The sequence below is a fragment of the Homo sapiens genome, chromosome 5 (assembly GCF_000001405.40).
Source record: "Homo sapiens chromosome 5, GRCh38.p14 Primary Assembly".
Lineage (NCBI taxonomy): Eukaryota > Metazoa > Chordata > Mammalia > Primates > Hominidae > Homo > Homo sapiens.
In genome coordinates, this window is record NC_000005.10 from 81833546 (window position 1) to 81853111 (window position 19566).

The 19566-nt window shown below is 40.8% G+C and overlaps 1 long non-coding RNA gene across 1 annotated transcript, besides 3 other annotated features; it reads left to right on the forward strand.

Moving 5' to 3' along the window:
* The first annotated feature begins 2789 nt into the window (after positions 1 to 2789).
* Positions 2790 to 6582, forward strand: LOC107986385 (uncharacterized). The gene is made up of 3 exons (XR_001742519.2): positions 2790 to 2929; positions 3947 to 4006; positions 6504 to 6582. It is a non-coding gene; the product is annotated as an uncharacterized LOC107986385 (long non-coding RNA).
* Positions 4918 to 4997: an enhancer, noted in NCBI's record as "active region_22733". NCBI's record gives its function as "activates an Ori minimal core promoter by ATAC-STARR-seq in GM12878 lymphoblastoid cells {active_cell/tissue: GM12878}" and the evidence as "EXISTENCE:reporter gene assay evidence [ECO:0000049][PMID:35858748]".
* Positions 18346 to 19196: an enhancer, noted in NCBI's record as "NANOG-H3K27ac hESC enhancer chr5:81147710-81148560 (GRCh37/hg19 assembly coordinates)". NCBI's record gives its function as "activates a minimal SCP1, AML or CMV promoter by ChIP-STARR-seq in naive H9 embryonic stem cells {active_cell/tissue: H9 hESC(naive)}" and the evidence as "EXISTENCE:reporter gene assay evidence [ECO:0000049][PMID:30033119]".
* Positions 18421 to 18480: a silencer, noted in NCBI's record as "silent region_16147". NCBI's record gives its function as "represses an Ori minimal core promoter by ATAC-STARR-seq in GM12878 lymphoblastoid cells {active_cell/tissue: GM12878}" and the evidence as "EXISTENCE:reporter gene assay evidence [ECO:0000049][PMID:35858748]".

Consider the following 19566-nt stretch of genomic DNA (forward strand, 5'->3'; position numbering starts at 1 on the left):
TCTAGTCACTGAGAGCTTGGAGCTACTTGGGTTCTGCAATGATTTCTTCAGTTCTGTTTTTTGTTTTTTTGTCAGTATCTTTCAACTTCTATTCCTCTCCCATTTCCCCATCCTGTTCCTCACCCTCCCTTTTTACTTTTTGCTTAAAATATTTTAGTTGGATTTCTGTCACTTGCAAAGGAAAGAATCCTGACTAGTATGGATTAGTCCTCTAGTAATCAAACCCATCAAGGACAAGGCAGGTGGGAGGGTGGGGTGAAGCAAAGCCATGAAAGTACGTATGTGATGGGATTTCATACGTACCCATATGGCAGGCTTTTACAGCTGCAAGGAACAGAGCTTCCCTCAGGTTTCCTGAAAGAAAATGGTGGGACTAAAAGTGGAAACCACCAAAAAACAGATGGGCCTTAGGGCCAGCTCCTGTCTGGGTCATGCTCACCGCCTCTCCTCCATGTCATCTCTGCTTCTCAAGAGTGTATCTGTTCCATTCTCCCTTTACTCCTGTGCGGCCGATACTGTCCCCGTTTTCTAGTCCAAATCCCAGGAGGTCAGCTAATTACACTGCTGTCCCCATTGTGCAGAGTTCTTTGTTCTTGACCATTGTGGGTTGCCAGATAACCTCTTTGGATGACGCACCATCTTGGCCTATCAGGGCTTCCCCCAAAGAACAATGGCAAAGGCTGGGGAATGTAGGACGAGGTAGACACTCCATTGTGTCATGGAACATGTGTGTCCCAGAATACCAGAAAGAAGAGTCAGAGTATGACATGTCAAACAAATACTAAATAAAAACATTCACCAGAAAGTCTAAAATGCATCAGAAAGGGGTGGGTGCAGAGAAGTTATAGGACTTTCTGAAGTGGTCTGGGCTAGAGCCAAGTACTTCAGGTCCTGGAGAAAACAGTGTTACACAGATGGGTGCTTTGCAGCTCGCTCAGAAGCGCGAGGCCCCTCAGCCACAGCAAGCCTACCGGCCTTTGTTTGGCTTGACTTCTACGACCTGACTACGGGAAATTTGGGAGAGTCCTCCCATGTTCTACACTTTCCACCATGATTCCAGAAGGACTGATGGAATCAGTAAATGACTAGGGTGGAATCCCAGTCAGACCTATGGTGGAATCCCAGTAAATGACTTTGAGCAAGTTTCTTTGCCTTTGAAGCCTCAGTTTCCTCACATCAAGATGAAATTACCTGCTTTCACAGAATTGTTATGAAGAGCAAATAAGACAAGACCTGTGGGTCACTTAGCCTAGCTCCAGGCACAGATAAAGTGCTCTTTAAATGCTAGTTATCATTGCTCTGTCATCACCATCATCATCATCATTCTCATCATTTTCATTAGGATATTTTCAAGGTGAGTGAGTGCAATATGCCTCCAGGGATACATTTGTGAACAAAGCTTATCTCCCTACCTGTTCGCTGATACTAGTCATTTTTCTAACAAACATCCCCACTTACAAATGAAATTAAAATCTAAATGTATTTAAACTGTAAAGCTATATGTCCAAAGTGAGCACTGTGTTATACAACTTAGAAGGTTTTTATTTTAAAAATAAAGAGATGAAGGAAGGAAGGACGAATGGACGGAAGGAAGGGAGGGAAGGAAAAAAGGAGGGAAGGAGAGAAAGAAAATCCTCTTGTAAAAGTTCTCTTCACATATAAGATTTTATACTTTATTTTAAAGGAGATTCTTTTTGTTAATTAAGGTATCAGTACAACAATAAAACCAACAGAAAAAGATATCTAAAAATCTTTTCATTTTGTACAGCAAATATCCGGGTATATTTACCTTATGTAAAATCATTCATTTGGTCTAACATGCCAGTAGAATTATCAAAAGTTTACTTTAACAAGATATGAAAAGGTTGGGAGGGTGTGGCTTAAATATAATCTACAATTTTAAAATTTAATTTCACATATTGCCATGCTGTTCTATTACATATGCAGGAACGGGAAAGGCAATGTTCTTCAGACTTGAAAAAAATTAATCCACAGTTCTTGGCATGGACAACCAATGTTATATTTAAAATATACATATCTAATGTGAGACCCATTATCTAATAAAAGTCATGAAATCTAGCTTATTCACTTTGTAACTTATAATAACTGAAAGTTGATCAAAGAAAAGTAATTCCATTTTTATTACATTGTTACTATTTTTATGGGCAAAATTTAAAATGTATGATAAAAATTCAATATACAATAATTGAAACATACAGTCTGACCTCACATTGCTCTGATAAATCTGTTCATTTCTGGCCATTTTCAGTGTTGCTATAGTGAACAGTGTTGACAAGTGGATGAAAAAAGCTTATAAATGGAATTCAGATCATAGATAAAACTGAACATAAACTATCTCCCAACATTTCTGCATGTTGGGAGGCCCGGTTTGTGCCACAGATGGCCATCTCCCAATAATACATAAAACATTTCTTGCTGGAGCTCAGCACACATTGTTGAATGCACAGGTCATTTGAACAGAACAATAATTCAATTCACTTAATAATGACCTCACTGGGAACAAACACAGACACAGGATGATGCTGTTAGGAGAACAAAATTGTACTAGAGTTTTAAAAATGAAATTCTTAAATAGCCGCCATGCTCTCTTGTCAAAATAGCACTTAAATGTATTCAGTGTTTAGCGACCAGGCAGGCTCACTGAGTTTATTTTAGTCTCTTGAATTTTACTGCTGTGTGTCTGTGCCATGTTCCTTCAGTTTTCACGCTGGTAGCTTTCCTGGGAAGGTCAGTGGTGCTCACTGAACCTTTTATTATCTTACAGGCTGAGCTCATTGATGAAGAAGTCTTGAGTTCATCATTTTTTCTTCTCTAATAGCTGAGATGGCAGTCAATGAGAGTGACTGCAGAAAGTTTCAGAAGGACACATGGGAATCATTTAACCAGGCCAATAAAATCAGCTATTTATGTAAGTAACAGTTATTATAACCTCAACCATCAAGACTGTATTTCTCTAGAATAATTTTTATTTGGGGGCTAATTTTATTCCTAGCTTATAAGGCTTAAAATCCAGGATTTCCTACTTTGGCAGTAATGAATGAACTGAGCCAGGAGAAATCAGGATCTAGATGCTCTCTTTTCAGCATTTAGATGCTTACACCACTGATACACATGGGTTCAGGTACCACCTACCTAGAATTTTTAGTCAGAGGTTCATTTCTATATTCTAAAACTAAACCCAAGTGCTATTGAAATTAGGCACCTTACTGCCATAGGCTTAACTATTAATATCACGTTCTCTTTTGTCACTCACATTTACTGTAAAAGCACACTTAATCAACAGCAGGGACTTTAAATATGTTTTGCTTAATATATTTTATTAAAAAGACCTTTAACTTTTAGGATCAAATCATAAACCTAAAGAACAGAGGGGATTAAAAAAACCCAAAAAACAGAAAATTGAGATATAACCTATTCAAATCAAGATTAATTTAATAATGGAGAGCAAAAAATCATATAGGAGTCTTATCAACAATTGTTTCATAGTTTAATTATTTTATTCTTTATTCTTTTGTCCCCTTCCATCTGTCTTAGTAGGCTTGAAAAAACTCAGTCTACTTTCCCACAAAATCGTGCTTTTATGCTTGGGAAACACATTTCTCTATAGGAGCTAACCCATTAGCTTATTTCTGTACCTGCTTCATCAATATCAGCTGGAATACCCTGTAATAGTGGCAATTTATTAACCTCTGCTGTAAAAGGCAACAGAAAGAACACTCATGCTATTTTTCCACAAAAATGGTGGTCAGGAGAAAGGGTGTTTTAGAGAGGTAGTGATACAGGGAGGGGAGAGGGGAAGCCATTAATAAGAAGCAGAGTACATTTTCCACTGACATATATACAATTCTCAAGACTAAAGAGGCGTCTATAATCTAAACAGGACACCCCCTGTTCCTTCTTCATCTTCCCCTCCCTTCTTTTACAGACACTTCCCCCGGAAGACATAGCCCTTGCTTCACTGTCTGAAGGAGAGAAAATGCAAAAGGTAAATAGATAAATACAAAAGACAGCACGTAACTTAAGGACCATACTGATATTATAAGAGTTCAGAGAAATTGAGATTGGGAAAGGTCCTTGAAGAAATTGCAAGGCGTGAGTGCAGCCCCCTGCTCCTGTGAGGCTGAGGGGGAATTTTCCTTCCTCTCATTGCCCCCTGGGGTGCTATGTTTTTGTCCATCTCCCAGTATGAAGGAGATCCTTCTGCAGCGAAGCCCACCATTAGCTGAGCCCAGCAGCTCAGCTTCTCAGTTTTCCTGGCACTTGCCTGAGGGCTTGCAGACTGAGCTTGCAGACTGAGCAGGATGCTGGGCATCCACTGTGCCTTCTCAAGGGAAAGGGAGGGAGCTGGGGCACAGAAAGCCAAACTCCTCTCCAGGCAGAGGCACTAGGGAAGCGGGAGCAGGAGGGAGGAAAAGTCCATTGTATGCTGCTAATAATCACAATAATAACATTGAAACAGCACTTACTACGCCCAGGACAGTTCCCAGCAATTTACATGGGGTATTAACCCAGGTAATCCTCACAACAACCCTATGAGGAAGTACTATTCATATGCCCATTGTACAGATGAGGCACAGAAAAACTAATGAACTTGCCTAAGAACACACAGCTACTTAATTGGCATAACAGAGACTTGAGCCCAGACACAGCCCGACTCTAGCACCTCTGTTGTTACATGGTTCACAACTCAGGCAGCACATTAGAATCACTTGGAGAGCTGTTAATCAATACTGATACCTGTCCTCAACCCCAGAACTACAGATTTAATTGATCTGCAGTGGGGCCCAGGGCATGAGGACTTTTTAAGTGTCCCCAGGTGATTCAAATGTACAGCCAGGAGAGAGCCACACTATTTAGGCTCTCTCTACACGGTTATCTCAGGACCTCAGCACCTCTGCTTTCCTCCCTGTTACTCAGACTATTACATTACACCCTGATCTTACACTCTGCCACTCTCCATTTTTCTTCCCTTGCAGTGGTTTTAAAATATGTCCACAAATTCTTGAACACTCATCTCTTCGAAAGGTAGAGATGACTCCCCTCCCCTTGAGTAGTGACTCTCTTCTAATAAATGTAATTTAGCAGCAGTGAGGGTCTGTGACTTCCAAGACCAGGTCATTAAAGACCTTTGCAGCTTCTTCCTTCCTGGTAAGTTGTGGATTGCTCCCTCTGGGGGAAGCCAGCTGCTATGTCATAAGATCACTCAGCCCTATGAAGAGGACCTCCTGGTGAGGAACTGTGGACTCCTGCCCACAGCCAAGGAAGAATGGAGGTCTTCCAGCAAGTAATCACTGAATGAGCCAAATTGGGAGTAAATCTTCCAGCCCCAGGCAATCCCTAAAATGACTAGAACCCTGGTGGACATCTTGAATGCTACCTCATGAAAGACCTGAGCTGGAACCATCCTGCTAAGCTGCTCCCAGATTCCTGACCGTCAGACACTGTGCAAGATCATAAATGTCCATTACTTTACACTGATAAACTGTGGGTTCATTTGTTATGTAGCAATAGATAACGAATACAGCCATCTTCAACCCCCACCTCCAACTCGCAAGTCCTCCCATATTGACTTGGAGCTGGGAAGTTGCCAGTGCTACAATAGAAAAGTGTCTGACATCCTAAGGTGGAATTCTGAATGCATTTACCATAGAAACATAGCTGCATGAATATTTATATATGTACATAAATGTATGTAGATGCATAGAAGAAGTCTGGAAGAAACAAGTCACACTGTTAATAGTTGTAGAGCCTGAGATAGGAAGGGGAGTGGGAGCAGGGGTTGGGGAGAAAGCCAAAGGGAATTTTTCTTGCTGCTCTGCAGGCTACTGTGTCATTTGGACGTTTCACACCAAGAATATATCCATGCACCACTTAGGTAATGAAACATATTTTTCCTGCATAAAAGTGAGGGAGGTTTAAAAAAATAAAAGTGGCATAATCATACCCAAGGCTGGGTTCTGTTGGAAGTAGAATACTAGAAAGTTCTGCAAGTACATTGTGGATACAGTAGTAATTTTGTAGCCTGTCCTGAGGGCCTTAATACCAGGTAGAACACTGTGAGAACAACAGGCCTTGAATCCTGATCTCCACATGTGCTTAATTCTTGACTCTAACACTTAACCAGCTCGGCAAGTTATGAAACTGTTCTGAGCCTGTTTCCTCATCTGTAAATTTGGGATAATGATTTGAGAATTATAGAAGCTAAATATATACATCACCTCATACAGTGAATGGTCTGGAGTTTGCAGTCACCAAGTGATAGCTGTCATACTGTGGGAAATATGATGCTAGTTCCAAACACGTACATTTTGGGATCATTACCTGTAAATAAGTTAAGGGTTCCATGAATTATATATTTTTGTCAATTCCTCTTTTTTTGGGGATGCAAACAAATTCATGAAACAAAGTAGACTTTCAAGACTCATTTACCGCATGAATTTTGCAAACATTCCAGAGGTCAAATATTTGTTTTCTATTTAAAGTGATAAAGGCATGAAAAAGTCATATTCCTGAGCTACAAGAGAGAAACTGAGGACAGTGGAGATGAGAATAAAATCCCTAAAGCTTAAAGGATGCTGGATCTGGATTCTACTGGATGTTGGTGCTGAAGAGTGGGACTGTCCTATCCTTTTCACATATGTTAGAGGTCACACACAGGGAGCCCACAGACCCCAGCATGCCAATAAACGTGTTTCTTGTGACCCATACAATGTTTCTGAAAAGCATTTGAATTAGTTACCCACATTTAAATTGGGAAGATTTCACATAGAAATAAAGGTTTCATATTGCTCTTAAAAAAACTGACATAACTGGCTATCACGGGCCAACTGGCTAGAACTGAATCGTGGATTCCTCCTTAGTTAGGGTGAGGGTTCTTCAAGAGGCCATAAACCCTACTTGGACTGGCCCGAATCCCTCATTAGGGTTATCTACTTGTCCTTTAGGCATTCAGTTTGCTCCACTGAAACTTTGGATGTTTATTCCAATCTAGTAAGAGTGTTGCTGGGATGGGATGACCACATGCTTCTATAGTTATAAAAACTGCCCAACCATGCCTGCAATGAAGAGATCCCAGAAATAGAGGCCATCTTTCTCTGTTTACTTTTTATTGAACCAAAGAAGAGGAATGTGGAGCTCTCCAAAATGTTTCCGTGAGGAAATGAAGAGCTGTTATTTATAATCTACTATACTTCTACAGTGAGCTAATATTTATCAGGAAGACCTCCAGTCTCTCAAATGGTCTAAAGTTGCGTGTCATTTCAGCCAACCTATCTGCATCATCTTTTCCATTTGAGTAGTCTGGGATTCTTTGCCTCTGCACATGCTCAAATCCTACAACTGGAAGAAAAAGCTGAACTATGACCCTTGCCTTTGATATATATAGAGAGATACTTATCGAGTTTGGTGATATTGAGTTCATTTTTAATATCACGGAGTCACTTGTGAATCAATACCTGTCCAATATTTGTCTAATAAATGTTCCTCTCTGACAGTTATTAAAAACAAACAAAAATAGGTTCTATTTCCTTAACTCTGCTTGAGGATCTTTCAATAGCAAAATTATCCCCCATAATTAACAAAAGCAAATATGAGTTTGCTTTTAAAAGACTCATTTGCTAGTCGTTTTTTTAGTCTAGGTCATTTCTGGCCTAGGTTATTTTTTGATATTTTATTTAAAAAATTTTCAAACATACAGAAAAGTTGAAAGAATGGCACAGTGAACACCCACGTATTCACCTCAAGATTCAATAATGAACATTTGCTATATTAACTTTACCACATATTCATTTATTCTTCTTTTAACCTATAAATTTTGATACATTTCAAAGTAAGTTGCAGACATCAGTGCATTTTACTCCTAAACACTTCAGCATTCATAGCACCAGAGTTCAATATTTATGTTTTTAAAAGTTTTAACTGTGGTAAAATATACACAACATAAAATTTACCTTTTTAACAATTTTTAAGTGTACACTTCTGTGGCATTAAGTACAGTCACATTGTAGTAAAACCATCACCACCACCTATCTTCAAAATTTTTCCTTTTCCCCAACTGAAATTCTTCACCCATTAGACACTAACTATCCATTCTTCCCTCCTCTCTGCCTTTGAAAACTACCATACTACTCCCTGTCTCTATGAATTTGACTACTCTAGATACTTCATATAAGTGGAATCATACAAGATTTGTCCTTTTGTGACTTTCTTATTCCACTTAGCATAATGTCTTCAAGGGTCATCCATGTTGTCACATGTTAGAATTTCCTTCCTTTTTAAGACTGAATAATATTCCATTGTATATACATATCACATTTTGTTTAACCATTCATCTATCAGACACCTGGGCTGCCTCCACCTTTTCTTTCCAAGACTGTTTTTTTCAGAGCAGATTTAGATTTCTTCCACTTTTTGGCTATTGGGAATAACGCTGCTGTGAATATGGGTGTACAAATATCTGTCTGAGTACCTACTGTCACTTATTTGGAGTATGTACCCAGAAGTGGAATTGCTGGAGCATATGCTAATTCTATGTTTAATTTTTTTGAGGAATCCACGGTTTCTTTTTCATATAACATTTATACCTAGTGAAATGCACATATCTGAAGTGTATAGATTTTGTTACATTGTAACAAATGTATACTCTAGTGGATTATTTTTCTTTTCTTTTTTAGGTCCATCGATATATACATATAAGAATTTTTCCATTAGAATGCTACACAGTCAGTGGCCAAAAGCCTGTTGGAAAGAGTGTGGGCTTAGATGACATCAAGACATACAGTTTTAGAACCTACTGGCCTTATCTCTTCACATATTTTGAAGTCTAAAAAAGGATCTCACTGTCCTGAAATCAGAAATTTGCAAAAATCATCATCTCCATCTTCTACTACTGACTATAAACATTTTACCTTGTGTAAGCAATGACCACAATAGTTCCAAAGAAGGAGTTTTAAACAAAAGAATGCATGTGGGGCTCAATTTTTAGCTCCCACCCATTACCAGAAAGAGATGATCTCTCCCTACATCCATCATGCAGATTTTTCCAGAGTCTAAAAATTCTAAGCAGGTAGTAGCAAATTTATCATACAGATCAGTAGTTTATAATATTGAAAGTGAAAACAACAATGAATATAGCATATTTTTTGCTATCAGATTGACAAAAAGTGACAGTTTCACTGGGAAAAGTGTGGAGAAACAGGCATTGGCAGATGCTGTAGGTGACATAAAATAGTAGGGCAATTTGCTAATAATCTGTTAACATTTTTAATATACATTATTCCTAACCCAGAAGTTTCACCTCTAGGAATTTTTCTTACAGAAATACTCATACGAGCGCACCAAGGTATATTTGTACATGGTTGCTCATTGCCACGTGGCTTGTAGGAGCAAAAAATTGGAAACGACCCAAATATCAGTCAGAAGGTAGCTGCTAAAAATAAATCCTGATATACACACATTTAACTGGTATAACTTGCTTTACCAGCTTGGACACAAATGAGGTTACATCTTTTTTATTTTTTCAAATTACATTAGGCCCAAACATCTATGTGCCAGATTAGTGCCAGAGGAAGTCCACTGCCTGTCTCCTCTCTTAAGGCCTCTTCTCTCTCCCTGAATTGTCCAAACACCCTGGGGCTTTTACTCCTTGCAAAGCAGCGAGTCTTGCTTCTAAATGCCTCCTGGAGAGAAAACTAGAGAATCTGATTAGTCTATTAGGAGCCTTATTTTCAACGTCTGTTGCTTCTGTTTGCCATACTGTGACTGTTGAAAGCTGCAAAAGTAATAAATAGGGAGTAGTGTTGTAAAATAAAGATGGGGGAAAAAAAAAGGCTTGATTGAGTCTGTTTTGAAAAATAAAAGTAAAGATCTTACTTGTATTTAAACATGAGCTATCTTTGACTATATATGTGTGTGTGTGTGTATATATATATAAATTTAGCATATACTGTAGTTGCAACAATGATTTAATTTTTCGAGTAAACAAAGAATGAATCAAGTGTTGATTTGGTGCTTGGGGGGATACATTTTCTAACAAAATTATTTGAAAGCAAATTTTGACACCCTTCACTTCACACTGACTTTTATATATAGCAGAATGACAAGGGTCACCTTGAGGAAAAGTGTGAGGGCTTAATCAATTTTGCTGAGACCCTCTCTTAATTCTTTGATATTCAAGTAATTCTTCTTTTGAAAAATGTATCCTGTTATCATTCTTGTTTTTCTCATCTTTAATTGTTAACTGGTCTAACACTGTTAGATATTCATTTGCTTATGGAACAGTTCTCCAAAATCATTTTCAATGGCTTTATAAAATCATGCATCTTTTGCAAGAGTAGCAGTTTTACATTGCAACTGAAATGCATTTTATTTACATTATATTGTGGGATGTTTATAACATCTGCAATCAGGAAAATTGACTGGCTGAGTGGGGATAGAGGCTGATATTAAGTTGGGAGGGCTATTTAAGTGAGGACTAATTTAGTAAGTGGTCAGTTCATTAGTGGATATTTTCCTGTTATGACCAATTTCTGCTTTCCTACACAACTTAGCAACTACTTGGATTGAGATAATAATGAATAGCTGGATAATAAGAAACTTCCGTACTACGCAGTACTAGAGAGGAATTAGGTGTGTATTGACATGGAAAAACATTCACAATGCATTGCTAACTATAAAAAACAAGTTCCACATGAATAGTATAACCATGTTTCTATGAAATAATAACAAATGTTAGTATATGCATAAGAAATATAAACAAATAAAACAACCTGGAAGATACTCCAAACTATTAGCAGTCATTTCTGATGAATGTGTGGGGAGTGGGGAAAATGACTTCATCATTTTTGAATATGATAAAATCTAATTTAAAATATTTTTAACTAGTGGACCAGGTATAGTGGCTCACACCTATAAACCCAATGCTTTGGGAAGCTGAGGCAGGAGGAACGCTTGAAGCAACATAGCGAGACATTGTCTCTACAAAAGAATTTTTAAAGAAATTAGCTGGATGTGGTGGCACATGCTGGTAGACTGAGCTACTCTGGAGGCTGAGGTGAGAGAATTACTTGAGCCCACAAGTTCAAGATTACAGTGAGCTGCTATGATCATACCACTGTACTACAGTCTGGGTGACAGAGTGAGACCAATATATATAACATACATATATTTAAACTAGTGTAGCTGAAATAGAACCAAAGTTGAAGAAGAAGAAGAAGGAAGAGGAGGTTGAGGAAGGGAAGGAGAGGAAGGAAGAAAAGGAGGGAGGGAGGGAGACAGACAGGAAGGAAAAAGGAAGATGGGCTGTCATTTGATTAGTGTCCAAACAGGGTATTCCTAGAGTTTTTATTAGCCCATTTTGAAGGGATGTGAAAGGTTTTTTCAATTGCAACCTATTGTGTTATAAATACCCCAGAGCTCATTTTCAAAATAACCAAATCACAAACATTTGTTGAGAATCTGTTATTTTCAAGGTACTATGCTGCACTTAGTGCTCAGAGGAATACAAGAATCTATAAGACTTCTAGCTTCTCTCAAAAAGCTAACAATTTAGTTAAGAATTCAGGAAAATCTTCACTTGAGATAGGGAAACTGCATCCAGCCTTCAGTGACCAAGATGGCACAGCTGTGTGATGGTGGAGAAACTGACTAGCTGACGCTTAGTCTTTGCTGCTGCCTAGTATTCTATGGGTTTAAGCATTAGATGAGAGTCAGGACTGAGTGCAAGATATTTACCTTCAGAGAAAAATGTAATTCTTTATTTTTCATAGGAAGGGAAACCCACAGATTGGTTCAAAGGCCAGTTAGAGCTCCATTCAGATTTGATGAGAGTATCAGGGGGCTTTTGACATGGATACTCATGAAGTGTGATGGTGAATAGTAGGGTATGTATTATTATTATCGCTGCCTCATTTTATAAACAAAGAACTAAGATTAACTCAGGTACACTCTGCTGCTAAGAGCAGAATCAGGATTTAAACCCAGTACCTCTGATTCCAGAGCCTGCATTCTTAATTTTTCAGATCCACTCCTTTATCCAAATGTACTGTCTAACTGCTAGGGTCTGAGATCAAAGGATGACCAGATCGCTCTTGTGCAAGGAAGAGATGTTCAGCATGGTACTAATCAATGTGTATATTTACTGTGTAGTTTACCCCAGAAGAAAAGAGGAAACCGGCTGCGTAAATGGAATTTGGAGGAAGGTAATACCTCCTGCCAAACAACATCGCTATCCGTGAAATCTCTACAGTCTTTCTGGATAAGAGGTTGCCAAGATTTCTGTAGACATGGTCTTCCTTTCCACTCCTGGAAATAATCCCTTTAGGGCAGAATTGAAACACATTAGCAGGTAACACTTTCTGCCTTTGTTCTTGTAGAGTGAAAAGAAACTGGGCCTTATATCCACTGTTGGGATGGTACGTGAAATGCAAACTACTCCTCTTTCATAGAAAATTTCTGGAAGTCATTGCCTTGAAAAGTTTTTAAAAAGTATTCTCAGCATCCTAAAATAATGGAAAATAACTTGTGAATAATCAGTGCTACGGTTTAAATGTGTCCCCCAAAAAGCACGTGTTGGAAACTTAACCCCCAATGCAGTAGTGTTGGGAGATGGGCCTAATGGGAAGTATTTAGGTCATGAGGGTGAACCCTCATAAATGGATTAATGCTGATTATAAAAGGGCTTGAGGCAGTGAGTTTGATCTCTTACTCTCTCTTGCCAATGTGATGCCTTCTACCATGAATGATGCAACAAGAAGGCCTTCACCAGATGCAGCTCCTCGAGCCAAATAAACTTCTATTGTTTATAAAAATTACCCAGTCTGTGGTATTCTGTTATAGCAGCACAAAAGGAACTAAGACAATGAGCTATAAATTATTTTTCCCTTCTTTGCTCTCTTTATCTCTGAGAATGTGAGGACTTAGCATTGAACATTGCAATGATTTATGGACAATGTCAAAGGTCTCTGAAAAATAATAATTTGCCATTTTGCTGAGGCAAGCATCAGAATCCTAAACATTATTGTCTGAGAACAAATCACTTGATTAGTGAGTGGGCCCAGCCATCCACCTGGTATTCACATCACAAGCAAGATCTTACAGCTTTCTTTAATTGTCATGTCTGCAATAAATCCTGTGAAGAGATAATAACTTTGTTTCTTTGTGAAAAATGGCCCTGTAAAGAAAGTCAACTGTTAGTGCTTGTGTTGAAAAGTGATGGCATTTATTAATTTGCATGATTATATTTAGATAATTACATGATTAGATTAATATTTAGAGTACAATTAGGTGCACAATGTTGACGGCTGCTTGATATACTTAGAAATTTGGAGGGTCTCTGTGTACAGAGACATTTCTCTATAGCCTGGCACATGTCTTCTTGGAAAATGGATGGCAAGAAAACTTCCGGCTTTACCTGTTGGTTACGGAAAAAAAGAATATTTTATATTACTGTGATCTTTTGGGAGGCAGGCATCTTTAGTAAACCAAATGTTCTGTGTCACTGCTAGGGTCTGAAATTGCTGTTTGGCAACAAAAGCTCTCTCGGGTCAGGGAAGCAGTTGCTTTCCCCTAAATTTTTCTTTTAAAAAATCCTCTGCAGTTGACCTCATTGTTCACCATTCTGCAGATGAGAAAGGACTCAATTGTTTTCAGCTGAGAGTTCCACATAGCAATCACAATAATGCCAGAATCATACAAACCACTGAATTAAGGTGGCTCCCCAACCCGCTATCACCAGGCTGTTGACAGGCGAAGAGCTGAAGCCATCTTTGATATATATTTCCCATCCTCTCTTCCCTGGAATGTTATTAGGCACATTAGGTTCTAACTGGAGCACTAATCATTGAATCATTTATTATTCTGCACATGCCCCTTACTGGTAGTCAGTGAAACTCAGATGAGAATACCCCACCCAGGATTTGATTGTGATGACACATGGCAAGATGTCAAGCATCTCCAGAGGCCTTAGATGTTTGGCCTATTGCCATTTGAGAAATGGCCTCTGATTTTCATTTAGACTTCATGAGGATGTTGCAAAAAATTGTTCTTATAACTGGTGCTATCTGTAATTCTTAATGGTAGTCTTGGAAATGTGGTAGCATTGTACAGTTGGGCTTATAGTCTCTGAAGAATCTTTGCTGTCTCAGAAGAACTCAAGGAAACTGAATTTCCAGACCTGGCAAAGATCCATTTTTTAAAACTGCTTGTTTAGCCTTGTTGCCTTGAGTCAAATAAAGCAAGTTACTTTATGAAGCATGAACAATGGCAGAAACATATCATTAAAATGTTAATTTAATTTGACTTGTTGAGGTAAGAATTCAGACAGTTTGGTTTACCGAAAAGAGACTGGGATTAGTGGTACTGTTGTTGATCTGGAATGAATCTGGTCATGTGAATGAGAGTTCTAAGGCAAAGAGAATGGGTGTAGTTATGAAGACTTTCTACCTTTGCTGTAGGTTCAGGACTAAAGTATAAAATGTGCTTTCTTCAGTTGTTCATTTTGTACTTTTGACACACATTAAATCCACTTTTAAGAGGTAGGTAAATTTAATATGTATTTGGCTGATAAGTTTAAATTTGTGATCATATGTTTTTCATTTATTCCTCCCTTTTCCTCACTTCTCTGAACCAAAATGGGATGAAGGTCTCATTCTCAAATGCTGTGATCTTGTTTTGCAAATCACCAACGGGTCCATCGTATAAGTTAAAACTTTGCAGGCCCAGGTGTCACAAGAGTATTCTTTTCTATTTGCCAAGATAAAATCCCGACTTATGGCTTGGGACCATATTGTAAAATGTAAATAACATTTTAATGAGTACTATAGAGGAAGACTTTGCTGGGCCAGTTGCCCACCACTGAAGGGCTGGATTTAAGTGTACCTTGGGTTATAATGAAACTAGTTTGGTGGTCTTAGCCTCCCTAGTAGACATTTTCCCACATTAGAAAACCAGCACAGGATTTCATGCAATTCCGTACAAAGGACAATTGCAGTTCTGCTCAAAACCAGAACTGGAGTGTGGATGGGGTAACTAGAGGAGAAGCTAGAGGAGGAAGAACAACAGGGAGCCTTTCAATCCAAAGTTAAACTCCTGCCTAGATTTAGGAGGAAAAGGGAAGGGGAAAAATAATTGCATATGTATTTTTATTTCTGTCCACATTCTGTAATCTCAAATACCATCTGAAGATATCTTCTCCTTTCCATTTCCTGCACTGTCCATGTTCTTGACTCTGTGAGAATATGTATTTCAAAAACTTTGACTAAAAGCATTGTGTTAACCTCTCTATACTAGTAACTCCAGCTCCTGGAGCTGTAGGACTCAACACCCACATCTCAACTAGATTCCATAGAAATTGTATTCATGTGTTTCTTACCTCTCCTGATTCCAAATTCATCTTTTCTAACTAGCTGCATCTCACTTGTCCCTTAACCAAGGTGCCGTCCCAGTTCCCATAGGGGGCCCTTTGTAATGACAGGTACACACCTTCATCTCTTAGTTTTTGCACTAGTCTATATGGAAGTTAATGCCTAATCATATACATTTGATACTCTATTACTGTTCTAATTGACTGACTGAAAGTATAAGCCAACCTTTTAAAGCTAGAGGAAGAAAACCCCAAGCGTAAGATGCTACACTCCTGACCTCACTATACTTCAACGAAAGAGAATTATTCAGTCCTTTTTCTCTTTGGAAAAAGACTCTGGCTCTAAATCCCTTAATGATTCTACCTGATTTAAATCTGACTATAATCCTGCATGGTAAATTAAGATTCTGCACCTTTTCACCCTTGCTTTTGGAATAATGTGTCTAACCCAACACCTGCCTAAAGAGATCAGATCCTCTAAATGATCCAAAGCCATTCTGCTTGGGAATGGAAACCGTAGCATCAGCTCCAAGAGAAGCAAATGGTGCTAACTCCCTCTGACTCGGACAGTGCTTCCACTCATGGGGGCTTCATAAGTGGTTGCATTTAGAGACCCGCTCCCTGAAAAAAAGGATATCTGTTTCTTCCAATTGCATGTGGAGTTCCCTGAACAGTCATTACAGGTCTCTTCCAGCATCCCCTTCCCTTCAATGTCCCCCACCCCCATTCCCACTCCCAGTAAAATTAGACAAGCCTATATTCTACTTAGAGGAAGAAGGTATTGTCCCTGGGAGGTTCCCAGGTCCCCAGCCATTAGAAGAAATCTCCAGGTCTGTCTCAGCACAGTACTTCCCTGTAGCAGGATAATGTGCCCTTCCTGGAGCTGGGCCGACTTTGCCCTAAGGTTACATTTCTACACAAAGAAGCCTTTAAGGGTGCTGTTGCAGGCCTCCACACTGGAGGTTTATATCTGTCAATCTTAGAAAAAAAGGAGGCTGTAATAAAACTGCAGGAGCCAGCAGTGGGGGATTACAACTCCAGGATCAGAGGAGGTCTGCCTCACAGCCCCGCTAGATGCTGAGATTGGCCTCTCTGAGGATGGAGAACAATAAAGCGGAAGGAATTTAAGTCAATTGGCTGCTGGATTGCATTAGCAGGACTCAGAGAAGGGGCACTTGCTGAGGGTGGTGCCTGGATTCTTGGCCGCTGCCCTTGTGCCAACCAAGCTGGGAGATCCAGAGTCTGAGGGAATGAGAAAAGTTCACCCAAGTCCAACAAGTTGGGGAGGCCTGTGGCATGCAGACACCCAAATTGGAGACTGTGTGTGCTGCAGCCATTGCAGCTCCAAGTGTAATTTAGTTGATTTACAGTTAATATGAGCAAATATTAATTAAGGTTTCAGTGAGTGACCATGATAGGCAGAAAAACAGGAAATACATCAGAAGGTGTGCTGGAACACTTTGCAAAGAAAACAGGAGGAAAAGCAAAAGTAGTGGCCTCTGGGAGCTGGGCAAAGAGAGTATTGGGGGAGTCTGAAAGTGGACCTGCCTGGTGGAAGGCATGCAGGTGGGGGAGGTGGAGTAGAGAATAGAGAAGAGAATAGCTGAGACTAGAGAGGACATCACTGACACCTGCCCAGCAGCTCTGCAGCCTTGAATTTGGCAGTGTGGTCCTGATGCCTGCATGGAAGGCTTGTTGGACCCAGCTTGAGAGCTTCCTAAAATATCCTTGGGCCTGATGCAATATCACTTTGTGATGGCACTGCATTGCGATGTGGTGACAGGATAACCTGGTGGTGGAGAGGGAAGGCCTTTTATGTCTTCATATGATTTCATCTGAGAGAGGCCAAATGAGCCCGGCACTCCCAAAGGAGAATGGGTGGGTTGGAAGAGTGGTTAAGCTCTCTGATGTGGAAGGAATAGAGTTCCCGTCCACCCACCCCCACGACAGAGGGCTAGATGCCTGGGAGATGCTCAGTTAGGAGAGGGAAACTCTGGAGGACAATCCCAAGGGGCCTCTCAGCAGTTCACAGGGGCTCTAAAACGCTAAGGGGAGGAAGAGCAGTGTTAACATCAGCCTTCACCTGGAGAAGGCAGCACAAAGAACAGGGCAGCTTCCCCCTAGAATATGCCCTCTGAGTAAGGGAAAAGGAGTTGGATTGGGAAAGGAGAGACGACACAGGCCTAGTGTGGAGAAAGCCACCAGGAGCTCCAGCACTCTCCAAGGTTTGGCCTAGGTCATCTCCAAATAAAAACAGTTTGCCTAGCTCTAGGCAAGCCCTTGTTCTGCATAATGATTTGAATTTTGAAATGTGACTTAAACCTTGCAAAGGAATGCAACTCTTTTCTCCCTCCCCCAGGCCATTCTATCTTTCTTAGAGGGCCAGAGGTGGATCAGAGGGAGGAAGGTTTAAAATTTTAGCCCCTTTACCAAAACATGGAAAGTGTCAACCACTAAGTCTCCCGCCATCCCCGCCCCCAATGCTCAAAGTGTTCAAAACTAAAAGCTACAGCATCTTTTCAGCAAGTAATCAGCACAAGTTGAAAGGCACATGCTGTTGCATTTCTGATCAGATTGTATGTTAAGCAGGAAAATATACCCCCACCCCAACCCTTTTTGGCTAAATGCATGTCTGTTTAAAGAAGCCACCAGGCAGTGCCTCTCACTTTGTCTTGGCAGGGCACAACCATCAGACGAAGTGGGAGGAAGAAACATTAACTTCAACAGCTGTTTCTTGACCCCGGCTGTCAGTCTTCCCAAGAATAAATTTTGGAGAGTCCTATTTGAAACAAAGAGGGAGTTTTGGGGGAGAGAAAAGTTGGTTGGTTCCAGGGCGACCGCCCAAAGAAGCAGGGAACAAGATGTTTGCAGTTACCACGCAGCCTGCAAGCCTCTGCCGGGTGCAGGGATGGAGCAAAGTAACTTGAAAGCTCCCCTCTCGGCGCCCTGTGCCTGCAGCTTCCCCCCCTAACGCGCGCCCAGATCCAGCGCCGGTGGTAGGAGCCGTAGCTCGACTACAGTAATTCCCCAGCTCGGGCGGCTTGAAACTGCTCGGGCTGAATAGCATTTGCTGTTCCGTCCTGCGGCCGCCTCCCGCCGCGGCTGCCGCGCTCCCTGCAAAGCAGCTCTCATTATCCCGGAAGTTGTGCTGACACAGTCTCGCTGCCACCAGAAGTTTGTCAACATCAAACTTCTCCTGTGTGGGGTACGTTCACCTTCCACGAGTATTTAATCGAGCCAACAAGCAAACAAACAAACCCAAATAAACCTGCCCGTGATGTTGTGGTCTTTTTTTTTTTTTTTTTTTTTTTTTTTTTTGCTTTCCTGGAAAGCTGGAGCTGTTAGGAATGTGCTGGTGGGGTCTGAGAGTGCCTGTGGGGTGGGCGGGGGGGTGGGCGGATGGAGATAAGGGAGACGGCCCCCCGGGTGGGGAGTGAGGAAGGGGCAGCGGAGGCGGCAGGCGGGCAGCTAGAGCTGGGGGCGGGAAGGCGGCTGGGGCTGGGGGCCGGCGAGTGGGTCCTGCAGCCTCTTGGCTGCTGCTTGTTTGGAGGATGTACGGACAGGGGCGAAGGTGGCTTTGGGTCCCCCGACCCCGCAACAAAGGTTATATGGAAGTGATGGCGAGGCAAAGCTGGGAGGGCCGGGACGCCCACTGTGCTCTCCACACTCCTGCAGGACATTTCTGCAGACATCTCACGGCATCTTTCGGAATAAAGGGCATTGGGGTCATAAAATGTATTCTGAGACTTAAATTGCAACATTAAAAAAAATTCCATAGGATTGGAGGGCAGGGATGCACCATCATTTCTGTCTTTGAGAGGTCTCTTCTGGTATCCTTGATTAAGACCATTTGGTCTAAACTTAACTGACTTCCTCAGCCAGGTCTCGGCGTTTAGTTCAAGTTGCAGCAACACAGTTTGATGTTTGTGGTTTCCAGTTGCTCCCCTGCTGAGACGCTCCAGGTGCTCCACCAGCGCCTGGGGACTCTGATTAACACTTTCCATTCCATAGTTTTACCCGGACAGGGTCAATCCTGCTCAGATGATGGAGAGGACAAGGTCGGCCTTGCAGAGTTGAGACACAGGCATTCATGAAGGGGTGCTACTTGGGGGCCACAGGCTTTTGTGGAGGGGCTGGAACTTCAGACACTGATAATAACTTTGTATCTGCTTCGGAAAGCCACTAGT